Raw genomic sequence first — 24,089 nt, 5'->3', positions numbered from 1 at the left:
CCCTTCAAAAAATCAATGAATCCAGGAGCTGGTTTTTTGAAAAGATCAACAAAATTGATAGACCGCTAGCAAGACTAATAAAGAAGAAAAGATAGAAGAATCAAATAGACACAATAAAAAAAGATAAAGGGGATATCACCACTGATCCCACAGAGATACAACCTACCATCAGAGAATATTATAAACACCTCTATGCAAATAAACTAGAAAATCTAGAAGAAATGGATAAATTCCTCGACACATACATGCTCCCAAGATGAAACCAGGAAGAAGTTGAATCCCTGAATAGACCAATAACAGGCTTTGAAATTGAGGTAATAATTAATAGCATACCAACTAAAAAAAGTCCAGGACCGGACGGATTCACAGCCAAATTCTACCAGAGGTACAAAGAGGAGCTGGTACCATTCCTCCTGAAAATATTCCAATCAATAGAAAAAGAGAGAATCCTCCCTAACTCGTTTTCTGAGGCCAGCATCATCCTGATACCAAAGCCTGGCAGAGACACAACTAAAAAAGAGAATTTTAGACCAATATCCCTGATGAACATTGATGCAAAAATCCTCAATAAAATACTGGCAAACCAAATCCAGCAGCACATCAAAAAGCTTATCCATCATGATAAGTGGGTTTCATCCCTGGGATGCAAGACTGGTTCAGCATACCCAAATCTATAAATATAATCCAGCATATATACAGAGCCAAAGACAAAAACCACATGATTATTTCAATAGATGCAGAAAAGTCCTTCAACAAAATTCAACAGCCCTTCATGCTAAAAACTCTCAATAAATTTGGTATTGATGGGACATATCTCAAAATAATAAGCGCTATTTATGATAAACCCACAGCAAATATCATACTGAATGGGCAAAAACTGGAAGCATTCCCTTTGAAAACTGGCAAAAGATAGGGATGCCCTCTCTCACCACTCCTATTCAACATAATGGAAGTTCTGGCCAGGGCAATCAGGCAGGAGAAAGAAATAAATGGTATTCAATTAAGAAAAGAGGAAGTCAAATTGTCCCTGTTTACAGATGATATGATTGTATATTTAGAAAACCCCACTACCTCAGCCCAAATTCTCCTTAAGCTGATAAGCAACTTTAGCAAAGTCTGAGGATACAAAATCAATGTGCAAAAATCACAAGCATTCCTATACACCAATAACAGACAAACAGAGAGCCAAATCATGAGTGAACTCCCTTTTGCAATTGCTTCAAAGAGAATAGAATACCTAGGAATCCAACTTACAAGGGATGTGAAGGACCTCTTCAAGGAGAACTACAAACCACTGCTCAATGAAATAAAAGACACAGACAAATGGAAGAACATTCCATGCTCATGGATAGGAAGAATCAATATTATGAAAATGGCCATACTGCCCAAGGTAATTTATAGATTCAATGCCATCCCCATCAAGCTACCAATGACTTTCTTCACAGAATTGGAAAAAACTACTTTAAAGTTCATATGGAACCAAAAAAGAGCCCGCATTGCCAAGTCAATCCTAAGCCAAAAGAACAAAATGGGAGGCATCATGCTACCTGACTTCAACTATACTACAAGGCTACAGTAACCAAAACAGCATGTTACTGGTACCAAAACAGAGGTATAGACAAACGGAACAGAACAGAGCCCTCAGAAATAATACCACACATCTACAACCATCTGATCTTTGACAAACCTGACAAAAGCAAGAAATGGGGAAAGGATTCCCTATTTAACAAATGGTGCTGGGAAAACCGACTAGCCATATGTAGAAAGCTGTAACTGGATCCCTTCTTTACACCTTATACCAAAACTAATTCAAGATGGATTAAAGACTTAAATGTTAGACCTAAATCCATAAAATCCCTAGAAGAAAACCTAGGAAATACCATTCAGGACATAAGCATGGGCAAGGACTTCATGTCTAAAACACTAAAAGCAATGGCAACAAAAGCCAAAATTGACAAATGGGATCTAATTAAACTAAAGAGCTGCTGCACAGCAAAAGAAACTACCATCAGAGTGAAGAGGCAACCTACAGAATGGGAGAAAATTTTTACAATCTACCCATCTGACAAAGGGCTAATATCCAGAATCTACAAAGAACTTAAACAAATTTACAAGAAAAAATCAAACAACCCCATCAAAAAGTGGGCGAAGGATATAAACAGACACTTCTGAAAAGAAGACATTTATGCAGCCAACAGACACATGAAAAAATGCTCATCATTACTGCCCATCAGAGAAATGCAAATCAAAACCACAATGAGATACCATCTCATACCATTTAGAATGGCGATCATTAAAAAGTCAGGAAACAACAGGTGGTGGAGAGGATGTGGGAAACAGGAGCACTTTTACTCTGTTGGTGGGACTGTAAACTAGTTCAACCATTGTGGAAGACAGTGTGGCGATTCCTCAAGGATCTAGAACTAGAAATACCATTTGACCCAACCATCCCATTACTGGGTATATACCCCAAGGATTATAAATCATGCTGCTGTAAAGACACATGCACACGTATGTTTATTGTGGCACTATTCATAATAGCAAAGACCTGGAACCAACCCAAATGTCCGTCAATGATAGACTGGATTAAGAAAATGTGGCACATATACACCATGGAATACTATGCAAACATTAAAAAGGATGAGTTCATGCCCTTTTTAGGGACATGGGTGAAGCTGGAAACCATCATTCTCAGCAAACTATCGCAAGGACAGAAAACCAAACACCACACGTTCTCACTCATAGGTGGGAATTGAACAATGAGAACACATGGACACAGGATGGGGAACATCACACACCAGGGCCTGTTGTGGGGTGGGGGGAGGGGGATAGCATTAGGAGATATATCTAATGTAAATGAGGAGTTAATGGGTGCAGCACACCATCATGGCACATGTATACATATGTAACAAACCTGCACATTGAGCACACGTACCCTAGAACTTAAAGTATAATAATAAAAAAAAGTAAGAAAAGAATTGTGCTGCATACCAATAATACAATTTATCTATCTACTTTACTATTAATGAATATTTATGTTGTTTCTAAATTTTGCTATTACGAATTTGATACTATGAATATTCCCATATTTGCCACTTGGTAAATATGTGTATATAATTCTGCTAGTATACATGTCACAGTAAAATTGATGGGTGATAGAGCACATGTATGTTCCTGTAAGCTAGACAATGCCTAACAGTTTATCCAAGCTCTACATATAGTGTATGAGTATTTCACTTGTTCCACATCCTTGCCAACACTTAGTATTGTCTGTTGCTTTCATTGTAGACATTCTGGTGGATATCATAGTGGGAAGAAAATATTTCTTCAGTCATCACAAGGTTCTTGGCTGAGGTACCTATAATGAAAGATAGATAAACAAGAGAAAAGCGTATAAATTTCCTTAACATAAGTTTTACATGACAGGGGAACCTTCAGAAATGAAGACTCTAAGAAACGACAAAGTCTATGTACTTCTGTGCTGAGTTGGATAAAGTGGATAATTGAGGGGAAGTGTGATTGCACAAAGGGGATATGATCTAATAATAGTGATAAACCAGGGGTTGGGGCACACTTAGAAAGTGCTGTTTCTTCAGATTGTTTTTGATACATTTGTGCCTTTGAGGCTTAAGATTTTTTTTTTCCAGGTATAGGGAGAGTATCTCTGGAATGAAGGCTTTTTAACCTGTTGCAGGGAAGAAGGGCAATGGAAGGTGAGAATGACTTTCCTGCTTCTGCTGGTTTCTCAGATTCTACTATGTCAGATATGGGGGTAGTATGTCCCAAACCCAGTCAGTATGTAGTGGTATCTCATTATGGTTTTAATGTGGATGTCCTTATAGCTAATAAAGTTCAACTTCTTTTTAATATGTATATTGGTTATTTGGATATTCTGTTGTATGAAGCATCTATCCAAGTCTTTTTCCTCATTTCTGTACTGAATTGCCTGCCATTTAAAAATTGATTTATATGAAAGTTGTGTATGTCCTGGACATGAATCCTATGTTAGATAAATATATTGAAAATACTCTGCTCTAGTTTATTGCTTGCTCTTTATTTTCTTACTGATGTCATTTAAGAAATAGAAAAAAGTCCTTAACTTTAGACAACTATTCTTATTTTATTCTTTGTTGTTAGTACTATTATGTCCTTCTTAAGAAATCTTTACTTACTTTTAGTGAAGGTATTTTTATTTTTTTTATTGTTATACTGTTCACATTAGATGTAATCCATATGCGATTTATTTTTATGTATTGTGTGGGGTAGGCTAGAAAGGTTTTTCGAAGTATAAAAGTATTGTTATAGGAAAGTTATTCATTACACTCGGTAAAGGCAGTAAGTAGGACTCTATTGAAGGGTTTGGGGTGGTATGGTGATAACTGTAAGGGTCATAGCAGTGAGGCAATTAGGTCTGTCGGTGAAGGGGAGAGTTTGGACTCAACTCTGACTCCAGCAGGAACAAGTGGGGATGTATAGCAAAGGAATAGGGTGGGGTAAGTGACGGAAATTTTACTAACAAGAAACATCGGGTTTAAGGGTAATTCTTGCTAGACTGACTCAACAGAATTCTTGCTTAAGGCAGGCCAAGGTGATAATATATAGAGTGGTCAGATACTAAGGGTGGATTTTCACTAAACTGATTTAGCTGGATTCTTCCTCGAAATGAATTATAAAAGGTTGGAGAGGCAAGACTGAGTATGGTCCTAGTCAAGTAGAGAAGCTGAAGGAGTCTGAGTCCTTTTTTTTAGTCAAAGGAGAGAGTCTTAGTCAACATATTATAATGAATAAAATTGATCGAGTGCAATTTATAGAGTATTCCATCCTTTATCCACTGCATTACAGCCTCACATTTTAAATATAAAATAAGAAACTTAAGTTATTGTAAACATGGATCTGTTTCTGTTTTATCTCTTTCATTAGACTTTTTTAAAAATAAAATTATAACAAATTGAGTTTAAAGATTAAATTAGCTTTTATTGTGATTCATGAATCAGGCATCATCCCATTAAAGATCCGGCAGAAGAGCTAGCTTTTATAAGGTAGCTTGAGCGGGAACCAGAAAAATGTGTAAACAAACAAACAAACAAATAGGTTAGTTAACATCAGGCTACTTCTGGTTACTTTCTTTGTAAAGGTTAAAGCAGAAGGGACTTCCTCGTCACTCTAGATAAAACTGTCTTGTTCCTGTGTTTGGATATCATTTCACTTTCCATTTCTCAGAAGGTCAGATAAACAACTTTGTTTTAATTTGGTGACATGGAACCTTAGAATAAGTGACTCCATTTTGATTAGATCTGTTTTGCTGGAGCCTAGTGTAGGAGCTTAGTCCAAAACAATGGCATCCCATAAATTTTATTTAATAGCCTATTTTGCTCTCCTTGCACGAGTATCACATTGTCTTAACTAATGGATCTTTAAAATTGGTCTTAATACCTGGGAGCATAAATCTTCCAGTTTTTTTTCTCCATGTTCAAAATTGCCTTTATAATTGTTGCTTCTTTGCATTTCCGTGAGTTTTAGAATCAGCTTGTTAATTTATGGCTTTCATTGTTTATGTTGAAAAGCCAGCTGTCACTCCTACTGTTGTTACTAATTTGCAGTTAATGTGCACTGCCCCCAACCTGAGATCTTCATTTTGACTTTGGATTTCAACAGTTTTACAATGACAAACCTAATTTTACATGTTTGCATTTATTTGATTATAGAAAAGCAACATTTTATATTTATTATGATCATTCATATATCCTTCACGTGAATTGTCCATTGGGACATTCAACTTTTTGATATAGAGAAGTATTTTATAGTGATTAAAATTTCTCATAGATACTACAATATGTATTTTTTTCTTTGTATTTTAATTGTGCTCAAGTTTAATGTCAGAAAAAAGTAATTATATGTGAAAGTAATTTATGCTTCATGAAAAATACTAACTGTACAGTAAATACGAAGGAAAGAACAAAAAGAAATCTACAATTCCACTATCCAGGGATAACTATTATTAATTTGAGGTGAACATTATTTCAAGTATTTCTTTGTATCTAAGAACTGAGGGAACAAAATCTATAAAGACACCCTGGGGTTGAATAATATTATCTATTAGTTCCTACTGCATAAGAAAACAAAGGACTCTACAAACATGATTGAGTATCTGTGGAGTGCCTTAAATTTTTAAATTGCTTTCAGAACAGCCATTCCACTTGAAATTTACCACGATATATAGAAATATCCAAGGAATTTATTATTACAAAAACGAGGTGATGTAACTGAGATATGGAGGAGTTGGCAGTGGACCTACGGCCTTGCAGCATGGCAGAGGTTGATTAAAGATCAAAGTCAAGTGCTTGGTTCATGAGTCACACTTCTGCATGCAGCATGTTCTTAGAACGACATTACCTGTACTACGATACATCATTAACTTGGTTATCAGGATTTGATCTTCTGGCCATTACTTTTACAAAGTTAAAACAAAAATTAGACATATGTATATTTCCTAGAACTATATTTATGTTGCATGTTTCATTTGTTAGGTTTGAAGGGGAGAGAGTACAGAAGAGACAATGATATTGAAAAGACCTTTGTAAACATTTTGCTTACATGGTTTTCTGACCCTGGAAAATAATCCCTGCATATGAAATGAAACAGACATTTTTCTAGTAAGTCATCATTCTTCTGTGCTGCTGAAGTAATCTTGTTGTGTTCATTGGTATAATTAATTTATCTTAATATCTGTTAGCTATTACAAAGACTATGTATGTAATTTTTTTCTTTTTTTCTTTTTTTTTTTTTTTTTGAGACGGAGTCTGGCTCTGTCACCGAGGCTGGAGTGCAGTGATGCGATCTTGGCTCACTGCAACCTCCGCCTCGTGGGTTCAAGCAATTCTCCTGCCTCAGCCTCCTGAGTAGCTGGTAATACAGGCGTGCGTCACCATGCCCAGCTAATTTTTTTGTATTTTTAGTAGAGACGGGGTTTCACCGTGTTAGCCAGTATGATCTCCATCTCTTGACCTCGTGATCCACCTGCCTTGGCCTCCCAAAGTACAAAGACTATATTTTTAAAATAATAACTACAATTTTAGGAAGAAAAATGTTGAAGGAAAATTTAGCTTATAAAACTACTTTTCAAAAATAATGTAAAAGAATTTATTCTAAAATCATTATTTCCAGCAATACTTCTAGGTCTCATATTATTTGCTATTATGTGCGTATATACATAGACAACTTTGTACTTACTTACATAATGCATGCTTTTATTCAATTTACCTTTTCTGATTCCAAAGAAATCTGAGGCAAATTGATGTCTACCACTGGGTTGCAGATTGTTTTCTCCCCACTTCACACTTCCAAAGAGAAAACACATTCCTTAACACATGTCTATATTCTTAATATCCATGTTAGAGAATGAAATATGAATTATAAGACACAAGAAGTGGTTTCAGCTGCCTACTTGAACAAAAATGGGTTTTAGTTTTTTCTAAATTTCAAAGGAATCACAAAGCATTCCATCACGTCACTGATTACAAAAACATTATTGCTATCTAGAGATTTCCTAGTAAACATTATTTTTAAGTACTCAAAAATAATAATGAATGTTTCAGTTTGTTTTCACACTGCTATAAAGAAATACCCAAGACTGGGTAATTTATTAAAGGGAAGAGTAATTGACCCAAAGCCTGAGGAAACTTACAATCATGGCGGAAGGTGAAGGGGAAGCAAGCTTGGACTTTCTCACATGGTGCAAGGAAGAAAAAGTGAGCAAAGGAGGAACTTGCCAAACAGAAAACTCTATGTCTTTCAAGAACTCACTCACTATCACGAGAACAGCATGGGAGAAACTGCCGCCATTATCCAGTCACTCCGACCAGGTCTCTTCCTAAACATCTGGGGATTACAATTCAAGATTTAGATGGAGACACAAAGCGTAACCCTTTCAATGAGTGTCAAGGAAAACTGAGCAAAAACTTGAAAACTTAAGGAACTGAAATTATTCTGATTCATATTTATATTGAGTTTTCTTTTGAGGTCATTCCTTTTTTTTTTCTTTTATTATTATACTTTTAATTTTAGGGTACATGTGCACAATGTGCAGGTTAGTTACATATGTATACATGTGCCATGCTGGTGTGCTGCACCCATTAACTCGTCATTTAGCATTAGGTATATCTCCTAATGCTATCCCTCCTCCCTCCCCCCACCCCACAACAGTCCCCATAGTGTGATGTTCCCCTTCCTGTGTTCATGTGTTCTCATTGTTCAGTTCCCACCTGTGAGTGAGAACATGTGGTGTTTGGTTTTTTGTCCTTGTGATAGTTTACTGAGAATGATGATTTCCAGCTTCACCCATGTCCCTACAAAGGACATGAACTCATCCTTTTTTATGTTTGCATAGTATTCCATGGTATATATGTGCCACATTTTCTTAATCCAGTCTATCATTTTTGGACATTTGGGTTGGTTCCAAGTCTTTGCTATTGTGAATAGTGCTGCAATAAACATATGTGTGCATGTGTCTTTATAGCAGCATGTTTTATAGTCCTTTGGGTATATGCCCAGTAACTGGATGGCTGGGTCAAATGGTATTTCTAGTTCTAGATGCCTGAGGAATTGCCACACTGACTTCCACAATGCTTGAAGTAGTTTACAGTCCCACCAACAGTGTAAAAGTGTTCCTATTTCTCCACGTCCTGTCCAGCACCTGTTGATTGCTGACTTTTTAATGATTGCCATTCTAACTGGTGTGAGATGGTATCTCATTGTGGTTTTGATTTACATTTCTCTGATGGCCAGTGATGGTGAGCATTTTTTCATGTGTTTTTTGGCTGCATAAATGTCTTCTTTTGAGAAGTGTCTGTTCATGTCCTTTGCCCACTTTTTGATGGGGTTGTTTCTTTTTTTCCTGTAAATTTGTTTGAGTTCATTGTAGATTCTGGATATTAGCCCTTTGTCAGATGAGTAGGTTGCAAAAATTTTCTCCCATTTTGTAGTTGTGTTCACACATTTGTCCGAATGGTAAGCAAAACATTTCCTCCTGTAGCTTAACATAGCCCTTATTTAAAAGTAAATAGCTGCAGGCGAATATAGGTTTGTAGATTTTGTTGTGATTTAAACACAAATAAGAGAGATTTCAATGTAGTCGTCCGGGGATAGGTGGGAGACTAAAATTGGGAAGGGATTCCCAATGAAGGGTTTAATACAAAACGAAATTAAATATTTTTTGCACAGGTTCCATACAAGTAAATCCGAAAAAAAGTGGAGGGGGAGGGGGTCGTCCACACCGCGAATTGTTATGGCGAGGAAGATAAATGTATTACTAAAGAAGACATGGACAGAAGGTGGATGGCGCTGCGGCCTGGCTCCCGCAGACGGACTGCCTTCTTCTTCCATTCGAGATCGCTCGTACCGAACCTCCTTGCCTTCTTCCTGGGTCTCTCGGGGGCTGGACCAATACATCTGCCGATGCCCTGGCCGAATGGCAGGCGACGTCGGGTCCTGGACCCCCACACGCAGCTCAGTACCCACGAGGCCCCAGGCTGCTGGAAGCCTGTAGCTCTGCCGGGGATGAAAGCCTGTCCGCAGTTTCTGCTGGAGTGGTCAGCCTCTGCCGGAAGGGGGCGCCCTTGTCTTTTTAATGGTCCTAGCACACTAGTGGAATAAATCTCTCAGATTCCACATCTTTTGTTTGCTCTGAATTTATTGCGAGTGAAAAACAGAGAAAACCCTCAAGTTTCAGTTTCTGATAGCAGAGTGTGGGAGTTAGAGCATGGGGACTCCAGAGGTCCCAGACCCCCAAAGGTCTCTACCAGGGCCATCTCCGTTAGTGGCCATGGCAGCCCCTCTTGTGGCCTTTTTCCTGCATCACCAAGTCAATCCTAAGCCAAAAGAACAAAGCTGGAGGCATCACGCTACCTGACTTCAAACTATACTACAAGGCTACAGTAACCAAAACAGCATGGTACTGGTACCAAAACAGAGATATAGATGAATGGAACAGAACAGAGCCCTCAGAAATAACGCCGCATATCTACAACTATCTGATCTTTGACAAACCTGAGAAAAACAAGCAATGGGGAAAGGATTCCCTATTTAATTAGTGGTGCTGGGAAAACTGGCTAGCCATATGTAGAAAGCTGAAACTGGATCCCTTCCTTACACCTTATACAAAAATTAATTCAAGATGGATTAAAGACTTAAACGTTAGACCTAAAACCATAAAAACCCTAGAGGAAAACCTAGACATTACCATTCAGGACATAAGCATGGGCAAGGATTTCATGTCTAAAACACCAAAAGCAATGGCAGCAAAAGCCAAAATTGACAAATGGGATCTAATTAAACTAAAGAGCTTCTGCACAGCAAAAGAAACTACCATCAGAGTTATTTTTATTGAGTTTTGGCTTTTTCCCCTTCACATTTATTTAATAGACACTTGGTCATAAAGCATTTGTAAATACAAATTGGGATATTAAAATGTTGTCTTTGTGACACACATTTTATTTTATTTTATTTTATTTTTTTAGAGACAGGGTCTCACTATATTGCACAGGCTGTTCTCAAACTCCTGGTTTAAGTAATTCTCCCACCTCAGCCTCCCAAGTAGCTAGGATTATAGGCTGTTACCACCATGCCTGGCTCCTGTGACACACTTTAAATCATTGTAGTATCCACTTAAACACAAAGAAAATGTGGATTTTTCTTCCCTGAGGTAAACAGGTGGTGCCAGAAACACTGAGAGTACTTTGGAAATGAATTATTGTTAAAAGTATCAAATTTTATATTGTAAAATAACCATATTTACACAACTTTGAATTTAAATGATCGCAGTTTTAATGCTTTCTATTTTCTTCTTGTGTTAATTAAAATCTTTGTAAACTTTATGGTAAAAGGAAGTCTTTGTAACAGATACTTTCATATTAAGGTTAGGAGTGTTATAGGTTAAGGAAGACTGAATTTTACAGAATAAAAAGACAATCTTTAAAATAACATTTCTTCTTAGGGACTGACCAGAAGAAGACTGCAGCAGAATCTGAGTAATAATATAATGTAAATAATATTAATTTGGATTTACCCCCAAGGGAAGATTCAATCCTAGATGGCAATACTAGAAACAAATTTGAGACCCAGTGGTAGAGTAGGGGCTACTGGGAAGTAGAAAAATAAAAGCAAATAGATAATATGATTTTCATCCAACAAATATCCCAAACAAAATGTCAAAATATGCAGAGCTAGTAGCACAATAAGAAATGACCCTCCTCCAACCAAGATACAGTTAAGGGAACTGCAGCAAAAGAGTTGGTGATAAGTATTAAATAATGTTGAATTGAGAACCTAAGACTAAAACACATGTGGATATACACGTGGGAGAATATGTTATTTGTTATAGAGGCTAACAAAATAGAAATATTGCAACTAAAAACATCGGAAAAGAAGAAAGAGACAAAAGTGAAAAAAGCATTAGATATTTTATTGTCTTTGGGATAAAAGATGATGGAAATTAAAGTACGTACTTTAAAGTTGAGAAAACATATAGAGGTCTAAGTAAAGAAGAGAGGTAAAGAAAAAAGCATTCTATAAGGACACTAGAATAAAAATAGCTACTAAAATAAAAATAGTAACGTTCATAATTACCAGAAGAAATTAAAACAAAACTAAATGCATTTACAGCAAAATTAAAACAAACATTAAGCAAAAACAAACTACAAAAAAAAAGTGAAAGAGCCACAATAAATATCACATGATAAAACAAAAGATAACAAAACTTGAGGACAAGCAGATGCATTATATAATACATATAATTGGCCTAACAAACCTACTAAAGAAAAGCCTTCAAATTGGGTCAAATCCAAATTCAGTTGTATGCTTTATACAATTATGTATTTAAAAAGTGATTTCAAAGGCTGAAAATGAAGAAATGAGCCAAGGTCACCTGAAAATGAGACAAAATGTAACCAGGGCTTGTGATCTTGGTATCTGTCAGAATGAATTCAACATAAAGAACGTTACATAAGGTGAAGAATTCTTTATAATGCACAAAGGGCTACATTTCACAATGAAAAATTAAGATTTATAAATATATTCACACAGTGGCCATCTTGATAACATTGAAACCAATGGAGATGCTAGGAAAAACAGAAACAAATAAGATAGGACTTTGAAATAACTGTCAATCTTAGAAGATACAACGGGTATATAAAAGTAATTGAGCACTCAAAAGACCTAAGTAACATAGTAAGGCAGATTTTTTATGAAGACACATGCATACATTGCTCCGCAACAGAAAGATAATAGGTACACTGCATTCAAGTTCTCACGAAATATTGTAAAAATATATTCTATTTAATTTCCTATGTGCCTCCCACGAAATAAAGAGAACTTCAATAAGGTCTGTAATATGGAAATTATACAAAAACCGTCTAATTGTAATGTAATAAAACTAGAAATTAATAACAAGATAAAAAAGATACTTACATCTGTTAGTTAAAAAACAGTTTTCCATTAAACATTTTTGGTTCAAAGGAGAAGTACAAACTTAGCTTACAAAATTTCTAGAACATAATTATCATGCCCTTCTTATATATCAAAATCTATGCAGTATCTAGAGCAATGATCATAGAAAAATCAGTAAGTTTATGTAATTATATTAATAAAGATGAAAAAGACCCAAAATAGACATATTAAACATACAATTCAAAAAGTTAGAAAAAGGACAAAGCGTCCTCCATGTCCCTACAAAGGACATGAACTCATCCTTTTTATGGCTGCATAGTACTCCATGTGTGTATGTGCCACATTTTCTTAATCCAGTCTGTCATTGATGGACATTTGGGTTGGTTCCAAGTCTTTGCTATTGTGAACAGTGCTGCAATAAACATAACATGTGCATGTGTCTATAGCAGCATGATTTATAATCCTTTGGGTATATACCCAGTAATGGGATGGCTGGGTCAAATGGTATTTCTAGTTCTAGATCCTTGAGGAATCATCACACTGTCTTCCACAATGCTTGAAGTAGTTTACAGTCCCACCAACAGTGTAAAAGTGTTCCTATTTCTCCACATCCTCTCCAGCACCTGTTGTTTCCTGACTTTTTAATGATTGCCATTCTAACTGGTGTGAGATGGTATCTCATTGTGGTTTTGATTTGCATTTCTCTGATGGCCAGTGATGATGAGCATTTTTTCATGTGTCTGTTGGCTGCATAAATGTCTTCTTTTGAGAAGTGTCCGTTCATATCCTTTGCCCACATTTTGATGGGGTTGTTTGATTTTTTCTTGTAAATTTGTTTGAGTTCTTTGTAGATTCTGGATATTTGCCCTTTGTCAGATGGGTAGGTTGTAAAAATTTTCTCCCATTCTGTAGGTTGCCTATTCATTCTGATGGTAGTTTCTTTTGCTGTGCAGAAGCTCTTTAGTTTAATTAGATCCCATTTGTCTCTTTTGGCTTTTGTTGCCATTGCTTTTGGTGTTTTAGACATGAAGTCCTTCTCCATGCTTATGTCCTGAATGGTATTGCCTAGGTTTTCTTCTAGGGTTTTTATGGTTTTAGGTCTAACACTTAAGTCTTTAATCCTTCTTGAATTAATTTTTGTATAACATGTAAGGAGGGGATCCAGTTTCAGCTTTCTACGTATGGCTAGCCAGTTTTCCCAGCACCATTTATTGGGAGTGGGGAGGGATAGCATTAGGAGATATACCTAATGTAAATGAGGAGTTAATGGGTGCAGCACACCAACATGGCACATGTACCATATATAACAAACCTGCATGTTGTGCACATGTACCGTAGAACTTAAAGTATAATAAAAAAAGAAAAAGGACAAAGTGAACGAAGTAGGCATACATAAGAATTAAAAATCTGAGTCAAGAATTTGAAAATATAGAAACAGAAAAAATGCATAAATACAAAGGCTGGCTCTTTGAAAAAAATCAGTGAGACACTTACTATTTACACTAGTCAAAAAAGAGGAACGAAAGCAAGCAATGAGAAAAGGAGATAATAACATTTGAAATACAGAAACTAAAAAAATTCCAAAAGTCTACTTTATGCCATTTTATGCAAATTAATCTGAAAATCTGAAGGAAGTGGATAATACCAGTCAACATGGTGATGAAAGGGGACGATAGATTGGAACTCGTAGAAGAATACAGTGGTGCAAGTGAGAGTTCTCTGAGTACTTTTCATATTTTTTTTACTTTTAAGCCATAGGAATGTTTTTATATAAGAAAACATGAAAACTTTAGCATCTGTATAGTAAACAATTATAACTTACTATAAAACACCGAACAAAGAAAACTCTGTAAGTCCTGGAAGACATTTCAAAAAGAAAGCATGAGAGAGAGATATCCAATGAGCACCTTTAGTGAGCTGAGCCAGATACATACCCCTGGACTTTTGAATCATGTGAGCTGTTATTTTCCGTTTTCCCTTTGAGAAGGTTTGAATTTACTCTCTTTAAATGCAACTTAGAGTTTAGACCGATATGATATTTTGTTTTGATAAATACAGAATTGTATCTACATACATCTCATCATGCTCTCATGTAGAAAAATGATTAACTTTTTTTTCTCATAATGAACTGAATATTTGAATGAGGAATTTCAAAGTCTTATGCGCATATATGTACAGAGATATCTATCAAACAGTTCTGGAAGATTATATTTTACACCTAACTTTTCACAAAATAGAGATTTTTCACAAGTGTCATGTAATGTCCTGCAATTTCAACTGCTGAATAGCTCTTAAAGCGTTTAAAGGTATTTTATAGTTGACATAGGAAAACAGCTGATAGTGAAAGAGACATCAACAGACATGTAGTCAATACCAGTAGATTTTTAGAAGATAGATTTCTCCAAGGTGAACTTTTTATTTTCATATCATTTCAAAAATTAACTCTAGATTCAATTTGCTATTTCTACAGAAGTGCTACAGATATCACTAAGAAGTTAGTCCAGGGGGCCTGCTAAGGAACAGAGTTTGATGTTTCAGCAACAAAAATTGTAAACATACGTGATGGCCTGAGCAGGGAGAAACCAGTTGCATACCCCAGAGCAGTTAACACTAATCACTCTGGGTAGAGATAAGAACGAGAAGAACACCTATGATGGAAACTCTCAAACACTTGCTGCCTCAAACCATCTCTTCCAGATGGAGTTAAATAGTCGGTATTAACAGAATTTTCCCTTTCTTTTCTTTCTCATATCCTAAATCAATTAATTTACTTAGGCAATGGAGCTTTGGCTTCATTTCCCTCTCAATGAAAGCTTTGCCTGCAACACTCCTGGCAATTCCAGCCCTGAATTCCTCCTGAGAATATTGTTCACGCTGAGAAATCCTTCATTGTTGGCATGCTCTGTAATAGAGAAAAATAGATACAAGGGTTATACAAAATTATTGGATCAGTATATAATGAACATTTAAATTACAGAAGATCCCAAACCTTAATATGAAGCTACCATTTGTAAATACAGAATAGAATAATGCATGTAAAACTCAAAGGTATCATTGATAGCTTTTTCTCCCTCATTTCAAATGTAATGAGGGCATTATTTAATGAATGTTGTACCTATGATAGAAAGCAGTAATCAAAGATGAAAGAAAAAATAAAGAAAGCGAATAGGGAAATAGGAAAGAAAGAAAGAAGGAAGGAAAAAGTAATTTAAAATCTTTGAATGACCTTTATTTTTCCTTAGCTTAAGACTAAAGGAGTGATTGAGCAACCTCAACTCTAGAAAAACATCCACAAAAATATTCTTTCAATTTTAAGGTTAAATAAAACATTTTTTAGAAGATAAAAGTTTATAAATTATAAAAATGCTATTTTGCGGCAGTAAGACTTAACTGAGTTATATAGCTTCTAAAATACATAGCATGTTACCTAATGTTTTCTGAGAGTTTCACTTAACTTTTTAAAAAGTTTTATTTTGTTTTTAATTGACATACAGTTGTACATATTTATGAGGTACACTGTGACGTTTTGATACATATATACATTGCATAATGATCCAATCAGGATAATTAGCATATTTATCATCTTAAACATTTGTCATTTCTTTGTGGTGAAAACATTCAAAATCCTCCCTTCTAGCTTTTTAAAAGTATACTGAACATTATAATTGACTATAGTCACCCTACAGTGCAAGAGAATACCAGAGTTTTCTGTTCTATCTGACTGTAACTTTGTACCAATCTCTCCACATCCTTCTCTTCTCCCTACTCTTCCTAGCCTCTGGTAACAACTATTCTACTCTTTACTTCTATGAGATCAACTTTTTTACATATGAGGGAGACATGTTGTTTTTTGTCCTTCTGTGTTTAGCTTATTTCATTTAACGTAATGTCCTCTAGGTCAGGGGTACCCCAACTGCTGGGACGCAGACTGCTACTGGTTGTGGTCTGTTAGGGGCCACACAGCAGGAGATGAACAGAGGGCAAGGGAACATTACCTCCTGAGCTCCGCCTCATGTCAGATCAGCAGAGGCATTAGGTTCTCATAGGAGCAGGAACACTATTGTGAACTGCACATGTGAGGGATCTAGGTTGTGTACTCCTTATGAGAATGTAACTAATGCCTGATAATCTGAGGTAGAACAGCTTCATCATGAAACTGTCCGCCCCGCTCCCCGACCTCATGGAAAAATTGTCTTTCACAAAACTGGTACTTGGTGCCAAAAATGTTGGAGACCACTGCTCTAGGTTCATTCATCTTGTTGCAAATGGAAATATTTTGTTCTTTTTTATGGTACATTTTTAATCTATTTATCCATTGATGGACACAAAGGTTGATTCCACATCTTGGCTATTGTGAATAGTACTGCAGTAAACGTGGGAGTGCAGATATCTCTTCGACTTACTGATTTCATTTATTTTGGATATGTATCCAGTAATGGAATTGTTGGATCATAAGGTAGTTCTATTTTTAATTTATTGACAAATCTCCATATTGTTGTCCATAATGGCTGTATTAATTTACATTCCAGTCAACAGTGTATAAGAGTTTTCCTTTCTTCATATCCTCATCAGTATTTGTTATTTTTTGTCTTTTTAGTAGTAGCCACTTTATCTGGAGTGAGGTGATATTTAATTGTGGTTTTGTTTTGCATTTCTCTGATGATTAGTGATGTCAAATATTTTTCCATGTACCTGTTGGCCATTTGTGTATCTTCTTTTGAGAACTATCTATTCAGATCTTATGCACCTAGATAATCCATTTTAATTAGATTATTATTTGTGTTATTATTTTGCTATTGAGTTAAGTTGCTTATATATTCTGGATATTATTGCATTAATATAACCTCTTGTCAAATGCATAGTTTGAGAATATTTGCTCCTTTTCTGTAGGTTGTCTCTTCTCTCTGTTGATTCTTTTTTTTTCTGCACACTGCTTTTTAGTTTGATGTCATCCCATTTGTCTATTTTTGCTTTCGTTTTCAGATCTTATTCATAAAATTCTTGCCCTGAACAGTGTCATTAAAACTGTAATGAAAATTCCCAATTGAATGGTTTTTTAATGCAGATATTATTGAAATATCTATCTGCTTACTGAAAATTATAATTCCAGAAAGTTCTGAATAGCCATGTAACATTCAAACATAGATATTCTATGCTTTTTAGGAATAGTTTTTAAAAATTGTGATTCTGTGTACCCTGAGGTGAGTTTCGATGCAGCAAGACTTCCTTGCTTTCTAAAAGAACAAGATTCCCTGATTTATCCTTGAAGCCTAAATGGTGTAAACACGAACATATAGCTGGTAAAATCATGCAATTTTTTCTTCGTGTTACTATAACCTGTTTGTTTCTTTGTTCTTCTGTTTTGGATAAGACATACATTAGCAATATACAGTTCCTTCTCAACTGACTGGTTGAAAGATGGTATTTATATATTTGATATAATCTATAAAGAGTAAGGTAGATTGCATTTTACAAAGCCATAAAGCATTATTTACTATTCAGATAACACCCTCAGTAATGCATTTTTGCAAAGTTTCCCTGTAAATTGCTAAATTGTTCATGTCAGATTTACAATGTTGTTAATGTCAAATATTTGAGTATTTGATATTGTAGAATTCTCTATCATCTTTTCACTGTCTAAGACAATTCTATTCTAAACTATTATGCTTTAAATAAGTGACGTTCTTTGGCATGGTAAAGAACACCAGAATATTAACCTGATTAAATATTTATAAGCGCATGACTGTTTTCTTGCTCTATAGAGTCATCTTCCCTGAGCAACCAAGCTGTAACAACTACTTTGTGCAGAAAAATTATATGATGTTCCTAATAGAGTATATTCTTACACTTGAAAATGTCATTATTACCCATCCATCAACTCTAGTGAAGTTATGAAACTTCATTTCACTGGAGGCCTTGACATTACATTGCTCACTGTTTGTTCTGCTTGTCAGCACTTTATGTCACTAATGGACAGGCAGTCGAATCAAAAATCTCAATTTTTTTCTTAATGGAGATTTTTTTTTCCTATTCAATCATCTGCTCATGTGGCTTATAATATGCCTCAAGGTACAGAGACAAATCTAGGTAATAAGGTCTGTTGAGCTTGACTGAAGAATGGTATTGGCTGGTAGGGCTAATTTCTGTGCTCCTAAAAATGCATTATTCCATTATATTTATGCTGTGCGGTTAATAATAATGAAGAATATGGAAATATACTAATGTTTTTGAATTTCTGTTAATTTACACTAACCAATTACAAAAGCAAAATATATTAATTTTTAAATAAATAATTTGGATAAAATTGAGGGAGAGACATTTTATTACTGTAAGTAAATGAATATGTAGAAAAAAAGGAAAATCTCCATAACTTCTGCTACAAAAACAAATAACATAGAATAATTTTAAGTATTTCTTTACATATGAAGTATTTTATGGAAAAGTAACATTAGTGTTATAATTTAAGGAAAGAAGAGCATTGTATACACACACACAGACACACAGATACAAACACACACACACACACAAGATGTCCATCTGAGTATCTGAATATTATTTAGATTTAGCACAATGAAAACTCCAGGTTCATTCATTTTTTATTTTAAGATTAATTCCCAACTTTTTTGTATCTCAGTTAAGTGATATGTTATGTGAATGCAAAATCATAGGAGGAAATAAGAATTAAAATGATCTATTAATAGTGACTTAGATGTATTTTCAGACACCTTTACATTTTAAAGGAAAAAAAATAAATCTCTAGGACATTGTCAGAGAAAAGAGGTATGAATAACATGCCTTACGATAGGTAATTAAATATAATTTAATTTCAGACTGTATTTCCATGCATACATGTGAACATAGGTCTATGTGAAAATTCATCTGTTTCAAACAAATTGCAGCTCACATCACCATGCTGTCCTGTCTAACACCTCCTGCTCCAGCCACGATATAAAAATTGGCAGCATCACCTATGAAAAATTTTAAGGAGCATAAACATGTTAAAAAAAAATTTTAAGGAGCAAAAACATGTTAAAAAGCATAAAAATAGATGTTAGAAATAAACATCTATTTCTTTGTTTTAGGCATCTTTTATTTTACCACGTACTTTTTTGGAAAGCCAAAAAATTATGGTTTTGGTTAGGATGGTGCAGATGGTTGTGGGTGGTACTGATAACATTATTGAACACTTTACTATGTGATCTAAATATATTAATTCACTTATTTCTCACCAAAACCTTATGAATGTGGTGGCTATTATTACTCACCATATTTTACAGATAAGAACGTTAAGGTGCACAGAAATTAAGTAATTTATCTTCTTTTCTCAAGAATCTTTGTGTCGCACCAAAGACAATCTTTCCTAAACACACCTTAATGGTGTATTATACACTTTAACAAACTTTGCTGCCTTCAGTTGCTGCCTCATCAATCTGAAACTTTCTCTTCTCTTCCCTTGGTTCTGCATAATTTGTCTTCATTCAATCTATTCAAATTTCTCTTGAACAAGTTTTCAGCACTTCCTGTCTGCAGGCAAGTCTTCTCTCCTTTTGCTCATTTATTGATTATAACACAAAAACATGGGTTGTACAATCCTTTAGCTTCATGGCACACAAACACATACATACAAAATGAAACCCAGTCATGTCACACAACAAGGTAGACTCGGCTCCTTTGCCCTATACACAATGAATACACAGTCATTTACCCTAATAGTTATACAGCATAAGTTAGTTGTAATAAGTTCCAAAGGGATCTAGAGTCCTTGTAAGAAGCTGTCATCTATAGAAGACCATAACCTAGAACTGCATCCAGAGGACCAGACAGATTTATTTCTTTCTTATAATAAGTTTCTTTGGGGAAGTGGAGAGAGCTTTTGTCCTGTTTCGCTATCTTCCCTTAGAAATGTTCTAAAGCATTGAACCTCAAAGGGAACAGGCCTCAACCATATCATTTGAAAGTAATCCCAGATAAAGGTGCATATACACAGAGATGTAGAGGAAAAGGGATTTGTCTCATTTTTTTCACTACCATAAGTAATCCTATGCCTTTTCTTTTTCTTTCTTTCTTTTTTTTTTTTAAAGTAGAGCTGAGATCTCCCTATGTTGCCCAAGCTGTTCTTGAACTCCTGAGATGAAACAATTCTCCTGCCTTGACTTCCCAAAGTGCTGGGATTCCAGGTATGAGTCACTGTGCCTGGCCTTCCCATGGTTTTTCAAAGGCAAGGAATGTCTTGATATGCTTTCTCTTTCAGAATATCTTTGACATTGTTTTATATCTACAGAACTGAAAAGGCACATTAAAGATATTTCCAGAATAAATAAGTCCGTCTTCAATGTTATTTCAATGTGATGTTTCTACTGCTACAACAAGGAAAATTCAAATTTTAAATAAGTAGATTGAGAAATAGAAAAATAGAAAATTGATGGAGATAAAATATTATTAAAGGATTAGATTGGAAAAACGTGGCATTTCACTCTGGAGCATTCATTTTTACTTACTTGGATTAAGACACCCATTTCACAAGTGACTAATACTCAGGGATGGTCTAAGAAGAGGCAACATTGCTTGTAAGTATCACATTGCTTATCACCTCAGAGTGGTGGGTTTATAGAAACTTTAAATGTGAAGTTAAGATATTTAATGCCAAAAATATGGAGAAAGAGAAATGTGTTGGCTTGCACAATCTGATAAATATGTGAAAATGAAAAAAGTGGGAGGGGGTCTCCTTGGAAAGTTTCTTAGGGTGGGAAACAGAGGGTGGGATTAATGCTATAACACAACTCTTTGACTTTCTTATTTCTTAAAATGTTTCTTTTGTGTTACCAAATCCTGTGCTACCAGAGTTTGGGTTGAATTCTTAGGTCCTGGCTGAAGGGGATGTTTCAGCAAAAGACGCTATTGGTATAACTTTAAATCTTCTAACACATTTCTGTGCAAGGTAGAGGACCCAACAGTGGTTAAGCTGAGGGTTTGCAGCAAATGGGGTTGCCCTATTACTTTATGTATTACAAAAACAAATCTTGCCATGGGAGAGTATGGTTTAAACCAGGGAGAAGTGAAGAAAGGGAGAAGTGGTTGTCAAAAGGAAAGAAATCAGGAACTAGGTTACTGTGCAAAAAAAAAAAAAAAGGATATAATTATTTTTTTCAAGGGCATTTTAGGAGAAGAAAATAATGCTTAGCTAATCCTCTCTGATTTCTGCATGAGTGATGGGCAATTCTGAAATAAATGACTGGATTTTTTTTTTTTTCTGAAAATGAGAGTTGGACTTAAACTAATTTCCAAGTTTTCCTTGAAAATTCCACCTGGGTAATCTGGTGAAAAGATATAATGCAGTGTTTTCTAATGGCTAGCCTAAATGGCAACTTTCATTTTGTTCATAGCTCATGGGCTAAAGTTACCACTTTTTTGTGGAAATGAGAGGCAGACAATATTTCTGAATCACTTGGGCCACAGATTGTACAATAATTGAGGCCTATGCATTGAGTGACTATGAACAAGACTGACAATCTGTTAAGGTAGTTGGCTAGATGTGAGAGGTGACATATTATTGAAGCTTATCTTTGTATGCTGGAGCTTATTCTGCTCATTTGCATTCACCAAATGAATGTGGATGGGGCTTTTAAAAGACAAAATAAAAGGAAGGTGCTGGTAATGAGAACATGGTGATTTCAGTGGTGGCACCCAAAAAGATATGTCCATGTCCTAATTCTTAGAAACTGTGAATGTGATATTTTTTTGAAAAAGGATCTTTGCAAATAAAATTAAAGATCTTAAGGTAAATCATACTGTATTATCTGGATAAGCCCTAAATACAATGTCAAGATTCCTTTTAAGAGACACAGAGAGGAGAAATGAAGCGAGAAGAGGAAAAGGCTATGTGAAAGCAGAAGCGGAGGTTGGAGTTATCCTACCACAAGCCATGGAATGCCTAGAGCTACCAGAAACAGAAGAAGAAAGTTCTTCCCTCATCTTCAGAAGGAACACAGCATTGCAGAAAGCTTGATTTTAAACTTCTAGGCTCTAGAATAGTAAGAGAATAAATTTCTGTTTTGTGAAGTCACCTAGTTTGTGGTAATTTGTTATAGAAGCCCTGGGAAATGAGTACAGGAAGTATGATTTGGTTTGAATTTCAGCTCAATTTATGTTGTTGATTTCCATTGTTTTCCATTATGTTGAATGTGTTTGGCCTGTTTTCTTTGTTGTTGTCATTTGGTATTTGTTAATATGTCCATTAGGGCAAAAAATGATGATAAGCATTTTGTATATATAATATATGGTTTCTCTTATGTAGATATAACATATGCTTTCCCTTTTTTGGAGGCATAATTCTATATTGCTGTTGTTTTGTTGTTCAACTCTCCTAGATCCTTATTTTAGGGTTAGTTCCATTGGTTTAGTTGGTTTTTGAGAGAAGTGTATGAAATCTTCCACTATGAGTGTGGATTTGCCAATTTCTTCTTGTTTTATTATCAATTTTTTTCTTATTAGTTATAAAGGAGAAGAAATGAAGTATTGAAATAAAAAGTATTACAGCAGAAATCAATGAAGTAACAAATAAAATTAATACAGAAAAATCAATGAAACCAAAAGTTTATTCTTGAAAAAACTATAAAATCAACTAGCCTCTAGCTAGACTAAGAAAAAAAGAGGGAGGATACAAATTATTAATATCAGAAATGAAGGAGGGAACATTATTACAGGTCTAATAAATGTTATAAATTAATAAAGGAACATTATGAAAAATACTATGCTTGTAAATTTAATAACCTAGATGAAATGGCCAGATTCTTTGAAAGACACAGTTTGGCAAAACTCATACAAGAATAGACAATCTAAATAGGCCTATATCTACAAAAGAAAACAAATCAATAATAAATAACCTTTAAGAACAGAAAGCACCAGATTTAAATGGGTTTACTGGTGAAGTCTACCAATATTTAAGCAAGAAATTATACCAATACTCTACAATCTCTTTCAGAAAATAGAAGCAGAGGGAATACTTCCTAACTCATTCTATGAGGCTAATGTCACCCTCCTACCAAAACCAGACAAAGATATTACCAGAAAACTACATACTAATTTATTTTATTAACATAAAACATCCTCAACAAAGTATTATCAAATCAAATCCAACTATATATTAAAAGAATAACATATTAAGTAGGATTTATCTATCCCAGGTATGCAAGTTTGGCTTAACATTTTAAAAATCAATTAATATATTTAATTTATATCATATCAGTAGGCTAAAGAAAAATCACATTATCATATTAACACATGAAGAAAAAATATTTGACAAAATTCAATACCCTTTATGATTAAAACTGTCAGGAAGCTAGGAATAGAAGGGAACTTTTTCAATTTAATAAGGAATATCTACAAAAATACCTAACAGCTAACATCATGCTTAATGGTGAGAACCTACAAGATTTCTCACTAAGATCAGGTATGAGAAAAAAATGTTCCCACTCACCACTCCTTTTTAACATTTTACTGAAAATCCTAGCTTATGCAATAAGAAAAGGAAATAAAAATGTATACTGATTGAGAAACAAGAAATAAGGCTTTGCTAGCAGATAATATGAACATCTCTGTAGAAAATCTGAACTAATTGACCCAAACGCAAAAACCTGATGCTAAAAAAC

At 34.9% G+C, this 24,089-nt stretch overlaps 1 protein-coding gene and 1 long non-coding RNA gene across 2 annotated transcripts in view; both read left to right on the top strand.

Annotated features, from left to right (window-relative positions):
* LINC02531 (long intergenic non-protein coding RNA 2531) overlaps positions 1-24,089 on the top strand; it is a 138,833-nt gene that overhangs the window by 69,703 nt on the left and 45,041 nt on the right. Inside the window, exon 2 of the long non-coding RNA NR_189297.1 lies at positions 20,526-20,618. This is a non-coding gene — a long non-coding RNA (long intergenic non-protein coding RNA 2531). The remainder of the gene's footprint in view (positions 1-20,525; positions 20,619-24,089) is intronic.
* Positions 8,950-9,866, top strand: LOC124901495 (putative protein PRAC2). Its single transcript, XM_047419663.1, has one exon. The coding sequence runs from the start codon at positions 9,319-9,321 to the stop codon at positions 9,649-9,651; it is 333 nt and encodes a 110-aa protein (XP_047275619.1). The 5' UTR covers positions 8,950-9,318; the 3' UTR covers positions 9,652-9,866.

The sequence above is a fragment of the Homo sapiens genome, chromosome 6, assembly GCF_000001405.40.
Source record: "Homo sapiens chromosome 6, GRCh38.p14 Primary Assembly".
NCBI lineage: Eukaryota > Metazoa > Chordata > Mammalia > Primates > Hominidae > Homo > Homo sapiens.
The sequence above is the reverse complement of the archived record's forward strand: the minus strand, read 5'-3'. Positions and strand labels throughout refer to the sequence as shown.